The sequence below is a fragment of the Homo sapiens genome, chromosome 18, assembly GCF_000001405.40.
Source record: "Homo sapiens chromosome 18, GRCh38.p14 Primary Assembly".
In the NCBI taxonomy this organism is placed as follows: Eukaryota; Metazoa; Chordata; class Mammalia; order Primates; family Hominidae; genus Homo; species Homo sapiens.
Window position 1 is genome coordinate 35,572,091 of NC_000018.10, and position 24,677 is coordinate 35,596,767.

Below are 24,677 nucleotides of genomic sequence, written 5' to 3' on the forward strand. Positions count from 1 at the left end.
ATCTTGTAGCTACACATATTTAGGAGAAGTGTTCCATTTCCTTTTCTGCAAGTCCAACTAAAGTTTTTGGTTCTATGGAAAATAATATGTATGCAATTACAGTATTGTAAGTGCCCTTTATTGGATTCTAGTTTTTTAAATCATCTTATATACAAGGCATAGAAGATAATAATAGTTCTAAAACACAATGGAAATGTCATAAACCATGGTGTAAGAGTTGTGAGATAGAAAGGGAAAAGGAGGTATGAAAATGTAAGGGTGTATGTAGCCTCATTATTTTTTATAATGAAGACTTGAGAGATGCTATCAAAAGTTGAATGATCAAGGAAACACTTTACCTATCAATTTAAAGTTACAAAGTAAGCCAGTAGAAGAACTATGTATAATACTACTAAGACACTTTGAGAAGAGGAGGGAGACAGGAGTGGTGTTAATGAGCTCTATTCCTTGTCTTCGATACGTGGGACTCAATAGATATTTGTGTATGATAGCTTGGCTTATTGATCCCAATTCTGCTCCCTCCTGTGAAGAATTATACATCCACACTCTTCGTCGTGTGATTTTTCGCATGCTTCCTGGTAGAGCACATATAGTGCCATCCCTACTCCGTTGACTCTCACTTTGGCCGTGTGAATTATTTTCAACAATGGAATGTGGGTGGAAGTGACAGTGGCCAGTTGTAAACAGAGGCTTCCAAAAATATCATGTGTTTGTGTTGCTCCTCTTCAGCTGTGGCCGTCTGCCATGGGAAGAACATGCCCTAAATAATGGCCACTTCTTTAGCCTAAGTCCCAAAATGAGAAGATGCATACAGCCAAGCCTGACTAAGTCCAGCATAGCTGCAGACAGTGACTCATGAGCTTGAAATAAGTGTTTGTTGTTGTAAGCCACAATTTGGGGATTGTTTGTGCGGCAGCAAAAATTGATAAACATACTATCTGAAGTTGATGAACTGAGAATGGGGACTATATTATTTAGAGTTAGAGGAGGAATCTACCAGGAGAGGGAGGAGTGGCAACCACCTAACAAAAATGGTTAGTTACTTCTAAAGATTGTGTTGGGGAAGAGAGTTTAAGTTTTTTATTTCACAGAAACCTGTCCTTTGTCAATGTTTGTCATATGCACATTTCCCTTTAAAATATAAAAAGTAAGGTGCATACCATCCAGGAGGTGATATAAGCCTTTAAAATACAAAACATTATAGCAACAATGTGATGAGACATCTAGCTTGTGTCAGAAAAAAAGTGCTGCAGATGATTAAATTGTAGGAATTTAGATAAAAGAAAAGATCAACCTGACAAGAGGTTGTAGACAGTAGAGAAAACTGCACTGGGATGGAAATCTTAGAGTAGAGAAAAGGTGGACGAAAGTAGGCAAGGAAGAAACAGTGTAACACATAACATGTAGAGCATGGGGAAGGACTCGGTGAGTGGTAGGGCTAGACAGAGAATTCTTATGGGTGAGCTGTGGCAAGAGGTCTCAGGTAGTTGGGAGGGGGACCACTTGTGAAGGGCCTGGAATGCTAGACTGATGTGTGTGGACATGAACTGGATGTTTTGGGAAGGTCAATATAGCAGGGCTGTGTGGGGTGGGGATATTGTATAGTGAAAACACGATCCTCAGAGCTGGTGGAAACTAACTTACGGGCCATTTAGGCAAGTGGTGTGGCAGATGTCAAGGTATTGCTATTAACTCATGTGGCTTTTGTTACCACATCCTCTAGGCCCAAATTGACAAAAAGCAGTGCCTCATTTTTTTTTTGCTAGAAATATGTAGGCTGTTATTCAGAGAGACTGTTTGGTTGCCCTGAAGGACTGCAAAGATATAACTTGAAGAAAGAAGAGGCCAGGAAAATGTATCTTATAAACCTTTGAAAGCCACTCCTAACTAAAAAAGACCTGCAGTTATCTTGCCTACCCTGTACTACTTGACATGGGAATTTTCATTGAGGCTTTCTAAATGCTATCTAACAATATCATAAATCATATGCATTCATAGTTAAAATTTTGGCATTCTTACTCTGTAGTACCTCTTTTGAACCGATTACCCATTGCCTCTTCCATTTCGCTTTATTTGAAGTTTATGTCATTTGATTTTCTTTTTAAATGACGGCTACTCTACTTTCCTTAAATTTTATATTAACGACTTTGTGACTTTTTAAATGTTCAGTTTTTTATATATTTTTATTTTTTTGAGACTGAGTCTTGCTCTGTCGCCCAGGCTGGAGTGCAGTGGTACAATCTTGGCTCACTGCAACCTCTGCCTCCCGGGTTCAAGCAATTCTCCTGCCTCAGCCTCCCAAGTAGCTGGGACTACAGACATGTGCCACCATGCCCTGCTAATTTTTGTATTTTTAGTAGAGATGTGGTTTCACCATGTTGGCCAGGCTGACCTCGAACTCCTGACCTCAAGTGATCCACCTGCTTCAGCCTCCCAAAGTGCTAGGATTACAGGCATGAGCCGCAGCGCCCAGCCTCAGTTTCTTAGGTTTATTTTTGCTTACTGTCGTCTTCACCCTTGTTGACCTTATGCCCAAATGGTATGTCTTGGGCCTTATCAATGCAGGCCCTGTTCCACTTGCAGTGCCTCTGGCTTGTTTTCACTGATGTCTCAACTTTTCCACTCCTCCATATTTGCTTACTTCAGGCTTCAGCTGGGTCTCTGATCTAGCAGTTCATAGCACTTTTTCCACTATGATAGACCATTTAAATGTCCAAAGCATATATGTGGAATTCCTAATCGTCTAGCAGTAAATTTTCCCTTTGCTTTCTGACTCAAGAAAGCCTATTGGAATGCAAGAAATTGGGAGTGACTTTTTTTTTTTTTTTTTTTTTTTTCATTTGAGGCAGAGTCTTGCTCTGTGGCCCAGGCTGGAGTACAGTGGTGCGATGTCAGCTCACTGCAACCTCTGACTCCTGGGTTCAAGCAATTCTCCTGTCTTAGCCCCCCGAGTAGCTGGGATTACAGGTGCCTGCCACCATGCCTAGCTAATTTTTGTATTTTTAGCAGAGATGGGGTTTCACCATATTGGTCAGGCTGGTCTGGAACTCCTGACCTCAGGTGATCCACCCGCCTCAGCCTCCCAAAGTGCTGGGATTACAGGCGTGAGCCACCGTGCCTGGTCCAGGGGTGATGTTTTTATAGGAATAATCTGCAATCTGATCTCATTTCTGTTTCAAAATTTTATTCTCAACTTCTGGTTCCAGAACAAGGTAGAATAGTGGGTGAAGTACACTGCCTACTAACAATAGCTAAAAGCCCTGAGCATTGTTTATGAAACAAACAGAAGAGTCTAAAAGGTGGAGAGAAGAAGACAATTGACTAGGGATCTACAGGGACCCATCCACCATTGATCTTGGGATCCAAGGAATGACAGGGCAACAAGTTCCCTCAGGGTTTTTTTTTTCTTTTTTCTTTTTTCTTTTTTTTTTTTTTTTGAGATGGAGTCTTGTTCTGTTGCCCAGGCTGAAGTGCAGTGGCGTGATCTCAGCTCACTGAAACCTCCATCTCCTTGGTTCAAGCAATTCTCCTACCTCAGCCTCTGGAGTAGCTGGAATTACAGGTGCCCACCACCATGCCCAGCTAATTTTTTTGTGTTTTTAGTAGAGATGGGGTTTCACCATATTGGCCAGGCTGGTTTCGAACTCCTGACCTCAAGTGATCTGCCTGCCTCGACCTCCCAAAGTGCTAGGATTACAGGCGTGAGCCACTGCACCCTGCCAAGTTCCCTGTTTCCTTCTTGCCTCATAGATCCTGGACCAAGTGCTGGAGAGTGGGCATCTGGGAACATCACAGGAGCATTTTTTTTTTAAACCCATAAATGCCTGTTCTCTCTAGCCAAAGGATCAGGAAAGGGGCAACCTAGCAAGAGAGAAAACTTTTAGAAAATAAATGCCCTATTCCAACCAAACATTGAAGAAAACATATTTGACCTCACCCCTTCCCTGTCCATAAAGGCTTTGAATAGAGAGCCTAGACTGCCATCTTCACTCTGTTGTAACAATGCACCCCTCATGACCTCACTCCCTGCTGAGAAGGAGTCAGAGAAGACCACGTGGCCAAGTGGAGACCCAGGGCTTTAATCCCTGCCCAGTCAACAGAATGGACAGCACAAAAATAAACAAAAAACCATGACCCAACAATAGGCAAGGGCATTAAGTTGAGTAAAAAAGCCAATCTCAAAAGGGCACTATATTAGTCCATTTTCATGCTGCTGATAAAGACATACCTGAGACTGGGCAGAAAAAGAGGTTTAATTGGACTTACAGTTCCACATGGCTGGGGAGGCCTCAGAATCATGGCAGGAGGTGAAAGGCACTTTTTACATGGCGGCGGCAAGAGAAAAAAAAAAGAGGAAGATGCAAAAGCGGAAATCCCTGATAAAACCATCAGATCTCGTGAGACTTATTCACTACCACAAGAACAGTACGGGGGAACTGCCCCCAAGATTCAAATTATCTCCCACTGGGTCCCTCCTACAACACATGAGAATTATGAGAGTACAATTCAAGATGAGATTTGGGTGGGGACACAGAGCCAAACCATAACAGCCACATACTGTATGATTCCATTTATACGACATCCATAGCCACATACTGTATGATTCCATTTACACAACTATAGAGACAGGGAACAGATAAGTGGTTGCCAGGGGTTAGAGATAGTGAGGGTGGGGAAGAGGGTGTGGCTATAAAGGAGATCTTTGTGGTGATGAAATACTACTTGATATAGTAGGATGATTTGGGATCCTAATGTCTCAAAATGGGGTCACTCCTATCAAGTAGTATTGAGGCCACAGTGAAGTTGTTTACTCCTCAAAGTGCTAAATGTGTACTCCTCAAAGTGCTAAACGTGTGTGTGTAATGGCTTGAGGTGATAACACCTGCTCTTGCCTGGTACCACCTGAGACCTGAAATGAACTGACAGAAATTGAAAAGTGGCTGAGTTAATGACAGTGGACATATCTGAGAGGATCCTGAAAGCAGCAAGCACCTGGTCTTAGCCTAGATGCCTTAAGAGGCTCTGCCCATGAGAACTGTGAGGTCATCTCCCAACTTGGCAACGGTCACTGCGGGCTCTGCCTGAGAGAAGCAGAAGTGGTGACCCCCCACCCCCACACCTGACCAACATCTGAAGGACTTCTGTACCCGCTGGACATGTCTGTCAGTGCGTTGGTCTCCCAAGCCCATCACTGTGGTTCATTACCCACCTCTGATGACTGCCTATGTGTTAAATATTAATTACATAATTGATGGTGTGTGAAGACCTCACAATAAACCATGAATTCAAACATACATAATTGGCTACTGAGTCATTGTGAAACCTCTCAGCTTTGGTCAGAGTTAGCAAACCTAGGCCATAGGAAATTAACATAACAGCTCTGTATCTTGATTCGGGTGGTAGTTACAGGAATCAACTCGTGGTAAAATGGCATAGAGCTACACACACACATTGCACCAATGTCAATTTCCTGGTTTTGATATTATACTACAGTTATATAAGGTGTAATCATTGGGGGAAACTGCAACTATTAGTCACTGTTACCTGCCCCACCTCCCACAAATGCCTAAAATGTACTGCTCTGATCACCACAAGGCTTTGATGGCATCCTGACTGGGATGCTACCTCCATCTCCCCAGGGCTGCCTTCACCTCGCTGACATGACATGATCACCACCAAATGGATGAATGTACCAAGGTTCCTGCCTGCATCCAATTTGCGTTCTCTTGTTCCTGGGCCTCACAACAGTGAGTGGTCATGACAGCGATGATGTCTACGGGCAGGGGAGCTATGAGACGAAGAAGTGCATGCATGTTCCTGAGGCTGCAGCCACAAGACAGAGCTGCCAGGCCTCCGTATGGCAAAGCAAACACAAGGAGTAAAAAATCATAAAATAATGGTGCTTTGCATTCTGCATGATTCCACATACTTCGTATCACTGGACATCTGTGTGGGCTAGTTTGTGTCTGTCCCTCTCTCATCCATTACCCTCTTCTGTTCCTTCCCACAAGTGGGTGCTTGACACACAATTCTGTATAAACAACCTCTACTCTTCTCCCTTCCCTGCCTACCATGTGGGTCAGTTGTTCCTGGACAGTTTACCCTGCTTCAGGCAACCCCCCCACATCTCTCCATTAAACCAAATCCACCCTAGGTGCCATTCATTTGGTTTCTAGGTAGTCAGGAACAAACAATTTGGCCTTATTCATAAACTGAAAGAATATTAGCATCATTTAGATAACAACCATTTTAAAGGGGGCCTGATAGAAATAATGCCCTGAATTAATAAGTCTACTCCAAGGAGCAGCTCCCCTGGTGTGCTTCCGGGAGTCGGGGGCTGTGGTGAGGGGATGTCAGGGCAGATAGGCTATTTCAGGTAGGATTGTTCAATTTCAATGTGTCTCCATTACTTACTCTTCTAGGGGTTAATTTCTTCTATGGTAAGATCATAGAAATCATGAAAAATCCTTACAAATCCATAAAATAATGAAACAAATCTTGAATCCTACCATTATCCAGCCCAAAGACAATGTCCCTTACCCCACAGGCATACCACGTGCATTACTGGAGGCAACCAATGAGTCCTGGGGCAGAGCCAAAGAAAAACAAGATTAACACTGGGAAAGAAAGCATTCTTACTCTGGATTCCCTGGTCTATGCCCTTTCAACTATTCCTTCTTGGCAAATCTTGACTTTGTTGTAAAGAATCTAGTTTTTTCCTGCTCTCAAATATGCTTACCCTTTTCTACCCCATTTTCTGTTCTGTTAGCAGGTACAGTGAAGACACATTTTGGAATGAATAGGAGTAGACTTGGATTGTTGAAGGGTAAATGTGCTTGGTTATAAAAACAGTTGTGAAAAGTGCATTTGATTACACGGTAGAATTATGTGCAAACAGCACACAATTTTTCATTTGTCTTACAGGTAGTTTTCATTGCAAAGAACTTGTTGCAAGCAGATTAAAAAGGTACTATTTTCCTGCGCTATTTAATGGTACACAGTTATCTTTTTTTTTAATTGCTTTATTGAGGTAATTGCACATACCATAAAATCCACATTTCAAGTGCACAGTTCAGGTAGTTTTCGTAAATCTACAACCATTACCACAATCCAATTTTAGAACATTTATATCACTGCAAAGAGATCTCTTGTGCCCCTTTGCAGTCATTCCCCATATCTACCCCCAGCTCTAGACCACTGATTATCTGTATCGATTTGCCTTTTCTAGATATCTTACATAGTCAATGTGTCACTTAATGACAGGGGTATGTTTTGGGAAATGCATTGTTAGGCAATTCTGTCATTGTGAGAATATCATACAGTATACTCACAAACCTAGATGGTATAGCCTACTACACACCTAGGCTACATGGTACAGCTTATTGCTCCTAGGCTACAGACCTGTACAGCATGGGACTGTACTGAATACCGCAGGCAATTGTTAACACAATGGTATTTGTGTATCTAAACACAGAAAAGGTAACCCATTGCCCAACGACATTATGAAGGCTACCTCACTTGGTGATAGTAACTTTTCAGCTGCATATAATCTTATGGGACCACCATTGTACAGGTGACCCATCATTGACCGGGGCATGGCTGTAAATAGATCCTACAATACAGGCTCTTACACATCTAGCTTCTTCCACTTAGCTTATCGTTTTTGAGGTTCCTCTATGTTGTATCTTCTATGACTACTTCGTTCCTTTTACTGAGTAGTAGTCCACTGTATGGCATATACTGCATTTTATCCACGCAGCAGTTTCTGGACATTTGGACTGTTTCTACTTCTTGGCTATCATGAATAACACTGTTATTAATATTCATGTACAAGTTACTGTATGAATTTATCTTCAGTTCTCTCAGGCATACGCCTAGGAGTGGAATTGTTGGGTGATAGAATACTTCATGTGTAACTTTTTAAAAAACCTGGAAAACTGTTTTCCAAAGTGGCTGCACCATTTTACATTTCCATAGGCAACGTATGAGGGTTCTAATTTCTCCATCTCTTCACCAACACTGCTATTGTCTGTCTGTCTTTTGTACTACAGCCAGTGTAGTGGGTGTCAAGAACTTCCTTGTTGTGCTTCTAATTTGCATTTCCCTATTAACTAATGATGTTGAACACCTTTTTATGTAATTGTTGATCATTTAAATATCTTTGGTAAAACGTCTATTCAATTGTTTTGCCCATTTAAAATTGGACTATTAGTCTTATTACTGAGTTGTAAGAGTTCTTCATACATTCTGGCTACAAGTCCTTTAACAGATATATGATTTGCCAATCTTTTCTCCCAAGATAAGAGTATTTTTTAACGATGACAACTTTATTCCAAAGTGAAGTTTCCTTGTGGAACAGTAACAGGCTAGTCATGATTGACTTTGTTTCAAAATATTATATAAGTACTTTTAAAATAGTAACTTTTAACTTTTATTTTAGAATACTTGGAAGATGTAGACAAGCAAAAACAGGATACTAAAATTCCAGAGATAATCTTCAGGTTTTTTTTTTTTTTTTTCGGACAGCCTTTTGGTTATGTGAGAGGTAATATAAATTTAAAAGTGGGACCACTTAAATATTAAGTAATCTCTTATTGCAGCTCTTGGTTGGCAAGCAATAAGACACAAACCTCTGAATTATTTAAGTAGAAAATTAATTTATTAAAAGAATGGTTGGTTATGCCTCGCGTGAGTGACAGAGCCAGGGTTTTGTCTTCTATCTTCAGGGCAGGGTACAGCTGGGTATTGGAATTGTACCAAGCAGTGTTTCCCAAGGGGGCACAGAGGGAGGGCCCCTCTCCGGGCACTGTGCGGGAGCCACTTCCCCAAACAGTCCCCGTTCTGCAAGGGCCCCGGCGTTGCTGCCCCCGAGACCCGGGTGCCTGCCCCGGCGGTGCGGGTCGCGGGCCTCCGCTCTCGCCGTCCTCCCTCAGTCCCGGGCCTCCTGCATCGCGGTCGCCAGGCGCAGGCTCAGCGCGGCTGACAGCGCTCCAGCTCCCGCGCTCGCGGCCGCCTCAGGCAGCCGACCGGGTTGGGGCGGCCCCGCGCTCGGCCCGGGAGCCGATCCGCTGTGAGGGCTCCTCCATCTCCTCCCACCCCGTGACCTGCTCGACGCGCAACAGCCCGAGTTGTCTTTAACTTGCTGCGGCAGCCTCTTTGTCCCGACCCAGGGTCGGGGGCACCTCTCGGCCTGGCCCGGCCCTGCCCGTAGCCGTGTGAGCGGGGGCCGGGACTGGGCGGTCGGTCCGGGAGGGGCGCCGCGCCCGACCCCGGAGTCCCGAGCCCGAGGGGAGCGTCGCGGCCCCGCGGTGGGCTCGCCGCAGCGGAGGGGGCGCGCATCCGGGTGAGCGCCGGCGCCCCCGCCTCCCCCGCGCAGCCGCACGGGCCGCCGCCGCCGCTGCCGCCGAGCACGCAGCGCAGGGAGGACCGCGCCCGAGCGCCTGCGGGCGCCCTGCGGCGCCCGCCGCGCGACGAGCCCCAAGTGAGCGGGCAGGCGGCGCGCATGCGGGGCGGCCCGGAGTAGCGCCGCCCGAGCCCGCGAGCGGGGCGCCCGGAGTAGCCGCCGACCCGAGCCGGGCGCGGAGGCGGGGGCGGGCGCGGCGGAGCGGGGCCCGGCCGGACCCGCCCGCCCGCCGGGGGAGCCGCCGGCAGTGGCCGAGGAGCGCGCGGCGGACGGCGGCCCGAGAGTAGCGCGCTGGCCGCGGGACCGGCCGCGACCGCCGCGGCCGGCCCGGAGGACGCCTGCCGCCGCCGCCGCCGCGCGCCTAGCGAGGTGAGTGTATCGCCCGCGGCTGGGCAGTCCCGGAGCCGCAGCGCTGCGCGCGGGTCGGAGGTGGAGAAAGAGGCCCCGCCGCGGCCGCGTCCCCGGTCCCTTTGTGGCCGGCGCTGCCTGGGGCCGGGGCGCGGGCACGCTCGGCGCGGGTTCGGGTCTGGGACCCCGGTGCCGTTGGACACGCGGCGTCTCTGGTTGGCAGCTTTGGCGAGCAGCGAGTTTCCGTCCTAGTTTGACATTGAGTTAGAACCGTTTTTCTTTAGAAGACGGAAGTTTGTTTTATTGACAAAAATAAAGCTAAATATGGCTTCTGGGTTCGGCCGTGTGGTACTTGCAACCGCGGTGCCAGCCTGACCCTCGCGGCGCCACGGGGGAGGGGAAGACACGCCGGCAGCGGGGGAGGGGGCTTCCCGGCCCGCTGCCCCCGAGGAGGACCCGGACCTAAATTAGCAAATGTTTGTGGTTGGGAAGTAGCGGGCTTTAGGTAATGTAGTAGCTTTTCCGCTTTTCCTGGAAGAATGAATGAATGAGATGTCATTTACTCATCCATAATCAATACGTTGCCCATTTAAGCATTTACCAGGAATTGGGATGATTTGCATTGTCATTGCTTCTCTTATCTGGTCAGCCTTGCTAGATGAGGTTCCCTTACTCCCCAGATTTGTGACCTTGTCCTCATTCTCAAAGCCACTGAGCTAACCAACCCGTCTACCAAACTCACTTGGCATTTTTTTGGTCAAGTGGGCAATAGGCAAAGTAGTCTTTCTGAACTGTTTCTGGAGGGCAGAGAATGTCACTTTGATCATATCTTATGTTTAATACATTGCTTTATAATCGTGTCAAGAACGCTGAGAGTTAGGAGGTCTTGTCATTTCACAGATGAAATAGTGAAGGCCCTAAGAAGTTGCAACTTTTCAGGTCACAATCTGAGCAGCAGAGTTGGGATTCAAACCTAGACCTTGTTAGTCCAGTCCTCTTTACATCACATCTGTGTCCAGACCTGGACTGTCCAGCGTGGGAGCCACTAACCACATGTGACTATTAAAATTAAATTTTAAAAATTCAGCTCCTCGGTCACAGTAGCCACATTTCAAGTGTTCCATAGCTAAATGTGGTTCTTTGCTACAGTTGAACAGCCCTGGTCTAAATTATACATACATTTGTTGTGTCAGTAAATATTTACTGAATGCGATCTGTCTATGAGGCACAGTTTTAAGTTCTGGGTACATGGTGAATAAGGGAGACACAATGTCCTTGCCCTATTGGAATTGACATTTTACATGATCCTTTGAGGATGTTTCCATGGTACTCCGAGTCCTGCTATTCCAAGTGTGGATGGTGTACCAGCAGCATCCCTGTCACCTCAGACTCAAGTAATGCAGAATGTGAAGCCCCGCTGCACATCAACTGAATCAGTATCTGCTTTACCAGGATTTCAAGTTATTTGTGTGCACTTTGAAACCTGAGAAGCCTTTGTTCAGCGTGCTGGTGATAACTGCGTTTAATGACTGCTCTGCTGGTTTGTTTGGTGCCTCTTAAGCAGCAGACTGCAAAACTCTTGGGAGCACTCACCATTTATGCAAATACTTGTTAAATGCCTGGCTTTCTCAATAGAGTTTAAGCTTTATGAGAGCAGAGATTGTGGCTTCCTTTTCCAGCCATGTATCACTGAAGACTTTACAGTGCCTGGTAAGCAATAAGCACTTGGTATAAATGCTTGTTGGATAAACGAATGAGTGTGCTAGGATACTTAAGCGTGGTTGTTAGCTGGGTGTGGTGGCATGCGTCTGTAGTCCTAGCTATTCCAGAGTGACAGCGCGAGACCCTGTCTCAAAAAACTGAAAACCCAACAACAACAAAACTGATTGTTAATCCCAAGCAGTTACAGGCAAGGTAATTCTCATGACATCAGGTGAGAGAGCATGGGACCAGAGTCAAAATGAAGATAGATCTGTTTGTAACTTTCAGTGGGACGCTCCAGCTACTCTGACTGGAGTTTTGCTCCTGGCTCACTTGCATGCCCTATCCCTCTTTTAACTAATATAATAATAATTTTGAATCTGAATCACACATTAGTGCTTCATATAGTTTTTAAAAAATTTTGTATTTTTTTAGGTAGCTAAATTCCAGACATTATTTGGATTTCACCAGTTTTTCCGTTAATATCTTCTTTCTGTTCCAGAATCCAGTCCAGTGTACTACATTGTATTTTGACATCATGTTTCTTTAATATTTGGTTTGTGATAGTTTCTGTCTTGTCTGGTTTTCCATAACTTTGGTAGTTTTGAGGAATACTGTCCTGGCTTTCTTTGATGGACAGCTTTCCATACTCATTCTCATGAAAGGTCACAATCAGGTTGACGCTGTTTCTGCTTTTACTTATTTATTTATGTAATACATCTGTCATGCTTATGTAACATACAACTTTGGTACTTTTTTTTCAGTAACAGATTTCTTGGATACAGTTCCTAATTGGTTGAGATGCAGAAGAGTGTTATACCATTGCAGTTATATACCAAGTTTTATTTTTTGATGGGTTAAGAGCTGGGCTGAGGTAGAGGAGGAAGGAAAGAGGAGAGATCAGTTAAAAGAGGCAGTTAGGCAAAGAGGGACCAAGGCAAAGGGAGTGACAGATAATGGAGGAAGAGGAGTGCGGCAACTTCGTAGAAGAGAGTTAGGAGTGACTACTTACTGTTTGTTCATTTATTCAATTAATATTTATTGACTCAGCAGTCCCAGTCTCTCTGGCACCAGGGACCAGTTTTGTGGAAGACAGTTTTTCCGTGGACCAGGTTGGGGGCCAGGGGAATGGTTTCGGGATGAAACCGTTACACCTCAGATCATCAGGCATTAGATTCTCATAAGTCTTGTGCAACCTAGATCCCTCATATGTAAAATTCACAGTAGTGTTTGCCCTATGAGAATTTAATGCCGCTGGTGATCTGACCGGAAGGAGGTGGAGCTCAGGCAGTAATGCTCGCTTGCCCACTGCTCACCTCCTGCTGTGTGGCCAGGTTTCTAACAGGCCACAGACTGGTACTGGTTCATGGCTTGGGGGTTGGGGACCCCTGTATGGAGCGATTAATGTGTGCCACACCCAGTGCTGTAGTCTCAAGATAACTGGGGGTGGATAGCATTAAATAAACATGCAAATAAGTACATAAATACAATTTGTGATTATTGCTACACATTAGCAGTAAAGGATGCTGGAGAGATTGTAGGTGGGGGAACTTCAGGTTGGCTGGGTTGGGGAGGACGGCTTCTCTGGGTATGTAACATTTAAACTCCTGCACCTGACTTTTGGGGACCCTTCAGAGTTACCCTCCACATTTCTTATCCCATTTTTATGTTATTTCACAACCCCCGACACATGCCTCTTTCTTCATAGGCACTTTGCTTATTTCTGGCTCTGTACCTTTTTATGTGATTTCTTCTCCTTCCCAAGATGTCCCCTTCTCCACCTCCACTTGTGGAAGTGCTACCTGTTTTTCATAGATTTGCTCAAGGTCTTTCTCCTTGATGAAGTTATTCACTGTTGATTTATGCCTCTTGAGTGTATGGTGTTTAAGGGTAGGGATAACAGTTTACATTTATATCTGTGTGTCCTCATTTAGTCCTCAGTTACCTGGTTGCTTCCAATGGTATCATTTTGTAAAGCTATAGTACAATTTCCAGACCTGTAATAGTCACATTGAAACAGTCAAGATAGAGAAAATTTTCATGGCCACAAGATTTCCTTATGTTTTTTTGTAGCCACACCTACTACCCTTCTACCTCCACCCCCTCCTTAAACTCTGACAATTACTAATTTGTTCATTTCTGTAATTTTGCCATTTTAAGAATGTTTTATAAATGGGATAAGTGTCTTTTGGAATTGGCTTTATTCACTCAGCATAATTCTCTGGAGATTGATCCAGGTTGTTGCATGTATCAGTAATTACTCCCTTTTCATTGCTAAGTAATATTCCATAGTATGAATGTACTTTTACGGATCTTTTAACCATTTACCTGTTGAACATCTGGTTGTTTCTAGTTTTTGGCTATTGTGAATAAAGCTGCTGTAAGCTTTTGTGTATAGGTTTTTGTGTGAACAGAGTCTTTATTTCTCTGGGATATATGCCCAGGAGTACACTTACTGGGTTGTGTGGCAGTTGCATGTTTAGTTTTTTAAAAAACTGGTGAGCTGTTTTGTAAAATGTTCTAGCATGGCTGGAACATCCCAAAGTGCCGGGATTACAGGCATGAGGCACCACGCCTGGCCTGTCACCATTTAGCCATTCTGATAGGTGTATAGGGATGTCTCATTGTGGTTTTAACGTGCATTTCCTTAAAGGCTAATGATGTTGAACACTTCTCATGTGCTTATTTGTCAACTGTATATTTTCTTCAGGGAACTATCTTTTGTTCATTTTCTAATGGGATTGTTTGTCCTTTTTACTATTAACTTTTGAGACTTGTTTATTCTTTATATATTCTAAATACTGGTCCTTTGTTGGGTATGTTGTTTGTCTGTAGCTTGTCTTTTCATCCCCTTAATAAGGTCTTTTGCAGAGCAAAAGTTTTAAATTTGTTGAAGTCCAGTTTCTCAGTTTATTTTTTTATGGATCATTCTTTTTGGTGTCAAGTCTGGGAACTCTTTGCCTAGCCCTAGATCCTGAAGATTTTTCCCTTGTGCTTTTTTTCCCTAATAGTTTTGTGGTTTTTACATGATCCAGTTTATGAAGCTGAGATTTAGGTCAAAATTGTGTGTGTGTTTGTGTGTGTGTTTATGCGTGTGTCTATGGATGTTCAGTTACTTCAGCACCATTCCTTGAAAAGGCTGTCATTCCTCCGTTGAATTGCCTTTGTATCTTTGTAAAAAAGCATTTGGAGCTGGGAGTGGTGGGCATGGGCATGGGGTAGACTGATTCCTCCTACACTTTTTTTCCCCCGTTATTTTAGCTGTTCTAGTTCCTTTGCTTTTCCTTATAAATTGTAGAATAATCTTGTTTATATCTACAAAAAAGGTCTTTCTGGGCTTTTGATACAAATTGCAGTAGACCTGTATCAGTATGGAGAAGATCGACGTCTTTAGTATGTATGTTGCATTTTTCAATCTGTGAACACAGGTTGTCTCTCCATTTATTTAGATCCTTGATTTCTTTCATCAGCATTGTGTAGTTTTATCATGCAAGTCCTGTACATATGTTTTGTTAGTTTTTATTGGATTTGTTTTGTTACATTTGTAAGTAAATATTTCTTTTTATATTTTAGTAATTGTAACGGTATTTTTAATTTTGGTGTCCATGTACTCATTGCCAGTATGTAGAAATATAATTAACTTTCATATGTTGATTTTGTATTCCACAATCTTGCTGAACCTACTTATTAGTTCTAGGAGTTCTTCTGGAGATTCCTTGGGATTTTCTATGCAGACTACCATGTTACCTGCAAAGAGGAACAATTTTATTCTTTTCCTTTTTAATCTGCACACTTTTTCTTGCCTTTTCTTGCCATGTTGCACTGGCTGAAATATCAGCACTATGATGAATAAGAAGGGTGAGAAAGGACAGTCTTTGTGATCTTGGGGGAAAGCATTCCTTCAGTCCTTAACTATGAGGTATAATGTTAACTATAGGATTTTCATGGATGCTGTTTATCAAGTTAGGGAAGTTCCTCTCTGTTCCTATCTTCCTGAGAGTTTTTATCATGAGTGAGTGTTGAATTTTATTGTGTTTTTTGTTCATCAGTTGATCTGATCATGTGATTTTTCTTCTTTAGCCTGTCAATATGGTGCATTGTATTGATTTATTTTTTAAATATTGAGCCAGCCTTACATCCATGGCATGAAACTTGGTCACAGTATAACACTTTTTGTACATATGTTGCTGAATTCCATTTACTAATATTTTGTTAAGGAATTTTGCACTTAGATTCATGGGGGCATTTAGCAATGTTTCCCTCTCAGCACTGTTTTCTCTGTGTTCCACACCTTTGTTTTATTTTTATTTCCATTCAATTCAATGTCTGTTTTTATTTTATCTTGGGACTTCCACTTTGAGCCATGGTATGTTGAAGAGGGCTGTTGAGATTCCAAGTATTAGGAAATTTTCCTTTCATCTTCTGTTTTCGGTTTCTAGTTTGATTCCATTTTGGTTGGAGAGCACACTCTGATTTCAGTTCTTTTAAATTTATTGAGGTTTGTTTTACAGCCCAGAATATGGTCTGTCTGTGGGCCCCTGAATGAAATGTGTTTTCTGCTCTTACATCCTGTTGGTTGATGATGCTGTTGAATTCTGTGTCTTTGCTTGTTTTTGTCAAGGCATTCTATCAACTGTGGAGAGAGAAGGCCAGTTATTTTCTCTGGTTATGGGACTCTGTGTTGATAGTTCTTTCAGCCCTTGAAAAAATTATACCACTTTCTTCTGGCTTCCATGGTTTCTGAGGAGAAATCCACTGTCATTCTAATAATTTTTCCTCTGTAGAAAGGAATCGTTTTTCTCTCACTGTTCTCAGGATTTTTTCTTCGTCTTTAGTTTTCGAAAGTTTTATTATGATACATTTCGGTGTGGATTCCTTTGGGTTTATACTGCTTGGGGTTCACTCAGATTCCTAAATCTGTAAGTTTATGTCACTTGCCAAATTTAGGAAGTTTTCACCATTACTTTTTTGAGTACTTTTTCAGCCTGCCCTCTTTCTCCTCTTCTTTCAAGACTCTGATGACTGGAATGTTCAGTCTTTTGTTATGATTCCACATGTTTTTGAGGCTTTGTCAATTTTTCTTTAGTCCATTTCTCTCTTATTCATATTGGGCTCTTGTCTTCCAGTTCCTTTCCTGTGTCCTTCCCTCCCTTTCTGCTGCTGAGTCTTTTTATTTTGGTATTTTTCAGCTCTAAAATTTGCTTTAGGTTTTTCTTCATATCTTGTATTTCTTTGTTGAGGCTTTTTGTTTATTTATTCTTAATTTGTTTCAAGCATGCTTGTAATTATTGAAGCATGTCTATCACAGCTGCTTTAAAATTGTTGTCAGATAATTCTAACATCTCTCTTCTTGGTGTTGCTGCCTCCTGATGTCTTTTTCATTCAGTTTGAGTTCATCCTGGCTCTTGGTATGATGAGTGATTTTTAAATGAAAACCTGGGTGTTTTTATATTATACTATGAGATTCTGGATCTTACTTAAGCCTTCTGTTTTAGCTCGCTTTGTTTTGATACCACCCTGGCGGGGGAAGGTTGGTGGGGAGGGCACATGGCACTGTCTAGTGATCACTAGAGGAAATTAGAAGTACAGGCTCCCCACTTGGCCTTTCTTGACCCAAGAGGTACAGTATCTTGTTTCCACCAGGTGGGAGTAGAGGTCCAGGATATCCGGGGGAGAGGGTGTATGTGGAAGGGTGCCTTGTTACCAGCTGATGTAAATGAAAGCTTGGGCTCCCTACTTGGCCTTCTCAACACCACCCTGGTGTGTGGGAAGTGGGTGCCTTATTATAACCCGGGGAGTACGTGAAGTCTAGGCTACCCACCTGACCTTTGTTGGCATGGGTCGGGGTAAGGCTACAGTTTTTTTCTGTGATGTTTGTCTGGAGTAGAGTGGTTTTTTTCCTATCAGTTTTCTGTCTCAGTAGGATGTCCCTTTCTTGGTCTTTTGACTTTTTTTCCCTTCTGCTTCTGTTAATGTTTCCAGGTTTCAGATTGCTGCCATTTTCAACTCCAGAAAGCTGGGATATATGAGGCAAAAATAAGTCTCAGGGAACTCACCATTTTATTGTTCCTTGCAGCCTGAGGTCCCTAGCCTTCTTCTCTCCACAGTTAAGAATCTTCTCATGTTTGTTTTATATGTAATGTTCAGAGTTTTCAGTTGTGCTTAGTGGGAGGAATAGGGAAAATACATCTGCTTCATCTTCCTGGAATTGAATATCCCCGAAGGATCAGTTTGTAACATTTCTTCTTTTCATGGGCTGATGTTTTCCTAATATGTGTAAAATATGAATTGCAAGAAAAATGAAATTAAAAACCACAATATATAATTTCCATTTCAAAAATTATTGGATTCAGTAGATGTAACATTTATCTGTCAAATTGCTACCAAAGTTTCTAAATGCTTGCTCTCACCCTCTCTCCTTACTCCTCATGGACTAGGTGAGTGCCAGTTTGCCATCTAGGAACTAGACTTTGACTAGCACTGCCTGGAGTGTTACTGCTTGATTCTTTTTAAAATGATAGACTAGTGATTAGCCATTCAGTTGAACTTCTCTGCTGTTTTCCATGGATTTTTGTAGGGACACCTTCAATGTGAAGCCCATTTTAGTCCTTAATGGGGAGGGATGTTTGGGATTGTTTTGAGGGCAGATGTAGCAGCGGTGATGAGAGTTGAGAGTGCATCTCTGATTTCAAGTGATCCATTTGTTGTTCAGTGTTTAGAATTCTTATAAATTTTTACAAATTATAAATTCTTATAAATCGTTATGAGACTCCTTTAAATCCTTCGTTGTAATTTATGACTTCTAATGTTAGAGAACATATGATTGATTTTGATTCTGTAAAGATGTCTAAGTATTGGCTTCCAGTATGTTAATCTTTTGATTGACAGCCTTGAGTATAGGACAAACTTCTATGGGAACCAGGAGGTGATTTGAAGACAGTTCTTTAGGTTTAAGCATCATGGAAGTTATGACTTCTCATTGAAAAAAGAATATTTTTAAAGTATCAGTTCATTTGTAGAAAGGAGTAGAATTTGCATTGCATTGGTAGAGACACATACTAAGTTATTGGATTGTCCTTTGGAATCTACACATTATGTTTTATAATTTATTGTTGTCTTTCAGGTTAAAGGGTAGGAGGAAATTTCTGGGACTATTGAAACTCTCATTTGTCCATTCCTAAGAATTAGTGAGTTATCAGTAAACACTTTACTAACATTTACAAGTCCCCATGCGTGGCAGGGACTGTAAAAAAAGGTAGGAAGGCAGCACTGTCATAGTGGAGAGGCCTGATGCTTTGGAGATTGAAGTCCATATTGTGTTCGTATTAGGACTGCAGAATAAATTTTAATTATTTTAAGTGTTTCCATGCAAAGGGAACACTGTCTCAAGTAACAGAACTGATATAGGGAGAGTAGCCGTGAGAGTTTCAACTTTTACTTAGACTGGGGGCAAAAGATGACTAAAACAGCTCTGCCACTGGGGATAGGAAATAAGGGTAACATGGTCTCTGATCTGAAACCTGTGAGGGGATTGAGAAAGTAGAGGGAAGAAAAGGGTGGTTAATTTAGACTGAGAGTCTTTGAACAGGGCTGGAAATCCTTTGATGAGCAACCTCTGGGGCATTTCATTGCATGAGATGTATACATACTCCTGGAGAGAAAGGACCTTTGTGGCAGGAGCTTTTCACTGGAAATGCTTTGAGAAGGGGATGCAACACTGGCAGCTTATCAGCTGGTCCTTGTGCTGTGGTCCTGCCCTATGCTGTGGTAATAGTAAGTTGGTTCAGACAGATGTGAATGTAGGCTATTGATAATTGGAGATGGGGAAGCAAAACAAAATAAATCACAACTTAGAATATCTCTGGCCATATACCAAGCACAATTCTAAGTGCTGTACTTATATTAATTCATTTGCTCTTTATAACAAAATTAAATGGCACTGAGAAGATAAGTGGTAAAGCTGGACAGGTAAACCTGTCCCCATGGCTGTGCATTTAATGTGTCAGTCTGGCTCCACAGATTATGGTCTTAACTGTTTAACTAGACTACCTTGCTCGGATAGTTTGGGAAAGATTGAGAGGGGCTTTGAATACCAACAAAAAGAGTATGGATGTTCTTTGGAATGCAGGAGGGAGCTGTTGAAGGATTTTGACGAGGGCATTGATTGACATAATCAGAATTAAGCTTTAACATACATGTAGGTGAGTGATTGCTATTTCAAAAGACTAGAGGTAGGAAATGAGGCTAATGCACTACTTCACATGACTTTGTATGCAGGAGCATACAGGTGCATTTTTAGAAATGGAATCAGATGGTCTCGTCAATGGGTGAAGGAAAAATAAGTCAATCACTTGATTTGTAAGGGGTGTCACCATTAACAGCAATGGAAAAAAACAGAGTTTGAGAAGAGTTAATGAATGTGTCTTGGTACATATCCAGTTGCAGGTGTCAGAGAAGGATTCCAGGTGGAACTGTCCTGTAGGCTTCATAGTTGGAGCACTGCATCTTGTTGGGAGAGGTCAGGTCTGGAGGTGCAGATGAGCATCATCAGCATTGAAATGATGAAAACAGGGAGTGGTAGAAAGGGCTGAGGAATAAACCTGAGGGGATACTTACAGTTACGGGCCCGGATGAGGAAAGTGACTTTTACATCCTCACTGGGCACATATTTATTGAGTATCTGTTTGTGCCAGGCACTGTGACTACAATGGGAACTAAACAGACATAGATCCTGTCTTTGTTGATCATACAATTTAATGAGGAAGATAAAAATAGAAACAATTAAGTAAACAATGGGAGAAATGACATTTCAGCTGAGACCCAGAGGTCAAAAAGATTTTAATAATACAAAGAGTATGGGCAAGAGGATTCTGGTAAAAAAGAATGCTATGCACAGAGACTGTGTAGCAAAGAGGACTCATTCTGTTTAAGGAACTGAAATACCAGTGTGGCTGAAGGGCCATTGGTGCAAGGGATGGGGGTGGGGTGAGATGAAGGTAGGAAAATTGGCATGGTATAGCTGATGCAAGACCTCATTCTCAGTGCTGTTGAAAGGTTTTGAGTAGGAGAAAGCTCTGCTCCTGATTTTAAGCAGATCACCCCTGCTGCAGTGTGGAGAATGGATTTGGGTGAGAGGGTGGGATGGGTAAAGGGGAGGCATGGAGATCAGTTGGGAAGCTCTTGCAGGAGGCCTGGACTAAATGGTGGTAGTGGATATGTCTGAGGCTGGGGATCAGGCTCTGGTGTTTGTCTCAGCAAGCTCTTCTGGCCTTCACCTTAGTACCTTTGTTTTTCTTTATCATCATATGTATCATGTTACCCCTCTCTGTTTATCCTTGCCCCTTTTAGACTGTGAATCCCTTATGTAGGGATAAGGACCTTCTCTTACTGGTCTGCCTACCACCTGAAAAGTGATCAGTAAATGTTGAATAAATCAATGTACTTGTCTTCATACTGAGGTTGTTTTCCTGTTGTTGTTGTTGTTTTTCCTTGAGAGGAGTTGCAAGACGTGGGAGGCTGTGGGCAGGGTTCCACGGGAGAAGGAGGATGCTGCATGTCTGGGACTTGTGAGGAGGAAGCACTGAAGAAATCTATGTGGCACACGGAGGTGTTTTCAGGTGTTGAACCATAGGGAGGTCTACGTGATTTCCTCATTAGGAGGATTAGAGAGGGCAGAGTCAGGAAACCAATAGAGGAGGCCTTATAAAGAAGACAGTTGCTGATGTCCAGTGCTGCTGAACAGGCAGGAGGGTGAAAAGATTCTTTCTCTGCTCTCTGTAGTTTTAGCAGAGGCGGAAGAGCAGAAATCTATTACCAGGGGATAGGAGTGACAGCAAATGTAGACCATTCCCTGAGGAAGTATTTGGGAGAGGAGAAAGGAGGAGATTGTAGCTTGCATTCGGGGTAGTTGAGGCAAGTGGTTTTTAGGATAGGAAGGAGCAGAACCTATTATTAGTAGGTCGTAGGTTATGTTGAGTCAGGGTAGTAAGGTATATGAGAGTCACTGAGGGGTGACGGGGGACAAGGAAGGTCAACTGTGGTGACTGGAGATGGCAAGCACCCCATTGCAAGAGGGCAGCTAATCACCTACTAGGATTTTGCTCTTTGGGTATGCTCAGTCAGTGGTGGCAGATAATTTTTTTTTTTTAAACCAGAGAAGCTAGAATACAAGTCTTTTTTGTTTTGAGATGGAATCTTGCTCTGTCACCCAGGCTGGGGTACAGTGGCGCGATCTGGGCTCACTGCAACCTCCGCCTCTCGGGTTCAAGCTATTCTCCTGTCTCTGCCTCCTGAGTAGCTGGGACTACAGGCACGTGCCATCACACCTGGCTAAGTTTTGTATTTTTAGTAGTGACGGGGGTTTCATCATGTTGGTCAGGCTGGCCTTGAACTCCTGACCTCAGGTGATCTACCCACCTCAGCCTCCCAAAGTGTTGGGATTACAGGAGTGAGTCACCGTGCCCAGCCTATAATACAAATCTTGATTTTTCAAGTGCAATGTCCTGATTTTGGCAGTTAAATCAGTTTTTAAATCTTTTCTTTGGGCGGGGGGCGGGGGCAGGAGTAGGGGACAAAACCCTTGTCTCTGGCATAACTTTGCCTGAAAGTTACCTTGGGAGAAAGGGCTGATGGCATTGGTTGGTGAATGTGAAAGAGAAGAGGAGTTATTTGTGGAGCAAGGCTTCTAAGGCTTTGAAAAGGAATGTAATTAAGTGTACAAATAAAGAGTATTATCCTTAAAAAGGAGAAAAAACTCAGAGGAACAAGGGAGTGTGAGGTAAAAGTGAGGTGGAAGGAACTCCGGTCTGATGAGGTGGGATTTCTCTGTAGAGAGGCAAGGACTATGTTGGCTGGTCTGAGGATGTGCACAAGGGAAGGTAGAGGGTGAGAGAGGGGGTCCAGGAGAGGAGCTGTAAAGAATAGTAAGGCTTGGTCTGGCTAGTTAGTGTAGGTTTACAGGGGACCTTGCCAGTGTTTCAGAACTTTCTAATGCCACTATCCTAGAAGTTGAAGCAGAAAAAGTGAAGAGTAGAACTTACTGAGGGTTAGAGATTGTATGTAAGGCTGAAAGGTCCAATGAAGTGAGGGATTTTTTGTGTGTCAAAGAGTACCTTATTACAAAGGTAATATGACTTCTGTGTTGGAAGCTGAGCACATTAAACTAGAAGGCTGGTTAAGTGTACTAGGAGGCAACTTCCTGCAGACGGAGAAGAACAAGTTTGGCAGGGGTGAGGGAACCTAAGCCCCAGTGGTCAGGAGACCATGATGGTGGTGTATTTTATGCCTGGGTTTGGTTTTGGCTGAAGAGTAGTTTAAGGTATAGACAGGCAGGTTGGTGTTGAGACTCGAGACAGAGGACAAATCAGGATTGAGGCCAATGGGGACTATAAGCTTGGATGTTGCTGCTAACAGAGGTTTGAGGTGAGCTTTGGAAATGGGGAGGAAGATGGTAACTCTAGTGTTGAAATCAACTCATTAGGGGAGGCTAGATGGTGCCTTAAAGATCAGTGTCAGTGTGAGGGTAAGTTTTTTGGGATGGGGCCTAAATGAAGAGGCAGATTCTGACAAATACACAATTCAGATTCTCCTGTTACAATATGATATTTCAATAGCATGGAAAATATCCCATGTAAAATACTCTTAATATATAACAAAAAAGTAATGTAATATTTAATAACAAGATAATTTACATAATGAAATGATATATGAAAAGATTTTGCTTAGAGGAAAGAGAGGTGGAGTCTGCCTGGGACACACACACAGAGATGCTGGCCCTGACCTGATTTGTTCTGATTTACTAGCAACTCCCAGACTTGTGGGAGGTGACAGTGGCTGATCCAATCATACCATCACTTGGGAGCCTAAAAGTACTTGCAGTACCAACTTTTTGAGGGATGACTGACTTGAAAAAATTCTTCAGATTTCCCTTAAACTTTTAACAGTGGAAGAGCATTGATTTGTTTAGTAACCAGACCATAAACCTATGGCAACAAGCTGCTGCGTGTCCACTCTCTGCCCTCCAAACAAAACTAAACAGAAACATTGTGAATTTAGGGATGCTCTTTTCTCTCACCTGATGTTAACATGTTTTTGCATAAAAAATACTCTTGGCAGAGTGGGACAATAAGATAATTTTTTTTACATTATTAAATAGTGGCAATTTTTTTTTCTTAAGAGAAAAAATAACATGTTTACATAGTAAAATATCCTGACGGTATCAAAAAGTACACAGTGAAAACTAACTGTTCTATTCTAGTAATTTTTTCTTAATGTTGTAAATGGAAGTCATAAATATTTCTGGGCCAGATGAGAGTTGCCTCAAAATTATTTTCTGAATTAGAATATTATGAAGAGATATGATAACTAAGCTAGATGGGAAAGAAATTACCAGTTGGGTGTGACATGCTGGTAGGCATTTTTAAAAAGTTAAATTTGGGGTGCATTTTGAGAAATGGAAGGAGGTGGGGAATGTGTATTTGAGAGAGAGAGGGTGCTGCGAAAACTAAGGAAAACAGCAGAGAGTTTGGAGAGAATTTAGGATACTGATTTTAAATATAGAGATTAGGGTAGATTATGTTGGAGAAGAACAAAGCACAAAGAGGCTTTCACAGTCAATGGGGGTTTATCTGAGCCCTGAACTAGAAAAACTCTTTTCCCCAGAGACCCCAAATGGGAGCTCTGACTGTAGCTTGATTCAGATTGGGTCAAAAAGGTGGAAATAGGTAGACAAGTCAAAATAGACGGGGTTCTAGGAGGCTATGGTAATAATAATATCATTCCTGGAAAAAATTGTTGAAGGCTTTAAACCTGAAGCAAGCCAGCTGGGTAACTTTTATATTCTTCTCTCACTTCTGAATGTTCTTTGCCTTTAAATGCTATTGAACTATAATAGAGTTTCATTATGAACTTGAACCTTATGTATGCTAAAAAAGTGTGTTGAGCTAGAGAGGTGGGAGTTAGGGGGAAGGGCATAGAAACTTGGTTCTTCGTGAAAGGTCTCCACCCTAGTGTACTTGTAGATACCTGAGAGTGAGTGTTTTTTTCTTTCTTTATTTTTTTACAGAACTCTTTGAAAGGGACTTTATAAAAATACACCCTAGAATTTCACCGGGCAGAAATTTCAGGTCAGATATAGGTGGGCCCACTTCCTCCCATGCAACTCAACTCCACACCATAGTTCCTCACATCTCTAGGGGAAGTCTCCATACCTTATTCCATTGCTCAT

The 24,677-nt window shown here is 42.8% G+C and overlaps 1 protein-coding gene and 1 non-coding gene across 12 annotated transcripts in view, besides 4 other annotated features; both read left to right on the plus strand.

The window, feature by feature from the left end:
- Positions 8,692-9,391: a silencer, noted in NCBI's record as "silent region_9400". NCBI's record gives its function as "represses an Ori minimal core promoter by ATAC-STARR-seq in GM12878 lymphoblastoid cells {active_cell/tissue: GM12878}" and the evidence as "EXISTENCE:reporter gene assay evidence [ECO:0000049][PMID:35858748]".
- Positions 8,832-24,677, plus strand: part of GALNT1 (polypeptide N-acetylgalactosaminyltransferase 1) — a 130,913-nt gene continuing 115,067 nt past the window's right edge. For 3 of the 11 annotated variants that reach the window (NM_001384445.1, NM_001384446.1, NM_020474.4), the window contains exon 1: positions 9,650-9,772. The gene's annotated coding sequence lies outside the window, so the exon portion shown is untranslated. Of the gene's footprint in view, positions 9,344-9,390; positions 9,482-9,649; positions 9,779-24,677 lie in introns of those variants that run through there. The other 8 variants (NM_001384441.1, NM_001384439.1, NM_001384440.1 and 5 more) reach the window with 6 other exon arrangements.
- On the plus strand, positions 19,647-19,716 carry MIR3975 (microRNA 3975). The gene has a single exon (NR_039771.1). It is a non-coding gene; the product is annotated as a microRNA 3975 (primary transcript).
- Positions 20,182-20,301: an enhancer, noted in NCBI's record as "active region_13227". NCBI's record gives its function as "activates an Ori minimal core promoter by ATAC-STARR-seq in GM12878 lymphoblastoid cells {active_cell/tissue: GM12878}" and the evidence as "EXISTENCE:reporter gene assay evidence [ECO:0000049][PMID:35858748]".
- Positions 24,346-24,405: an enhancer, noted in NCBI's record as "active region_13228". NCBI's record gives its function as "activates an Ori minimal core promoter by ATAC-STARR-seq in GM12878 lymphoblastoid cells {active_cell/tissue: GM12878}" and the evidence as "EXISTENCE:reporter gene assay evidence [ECO:0000049][PMID:35858748]".
- Positions 24,466-24,515: an enhancer, noted in NCBI's record as "active region_13229". NCBI's record gives its function as "activates an Ori minimal core promoter by ATAC-STARR-seq in GM12878 lymphoblastoid cells {active_cell/tissue: GM12878}" and the evidence as "EXISTENCE:reporter gene assay evidence [ECO:0000049][PMID:35858748]".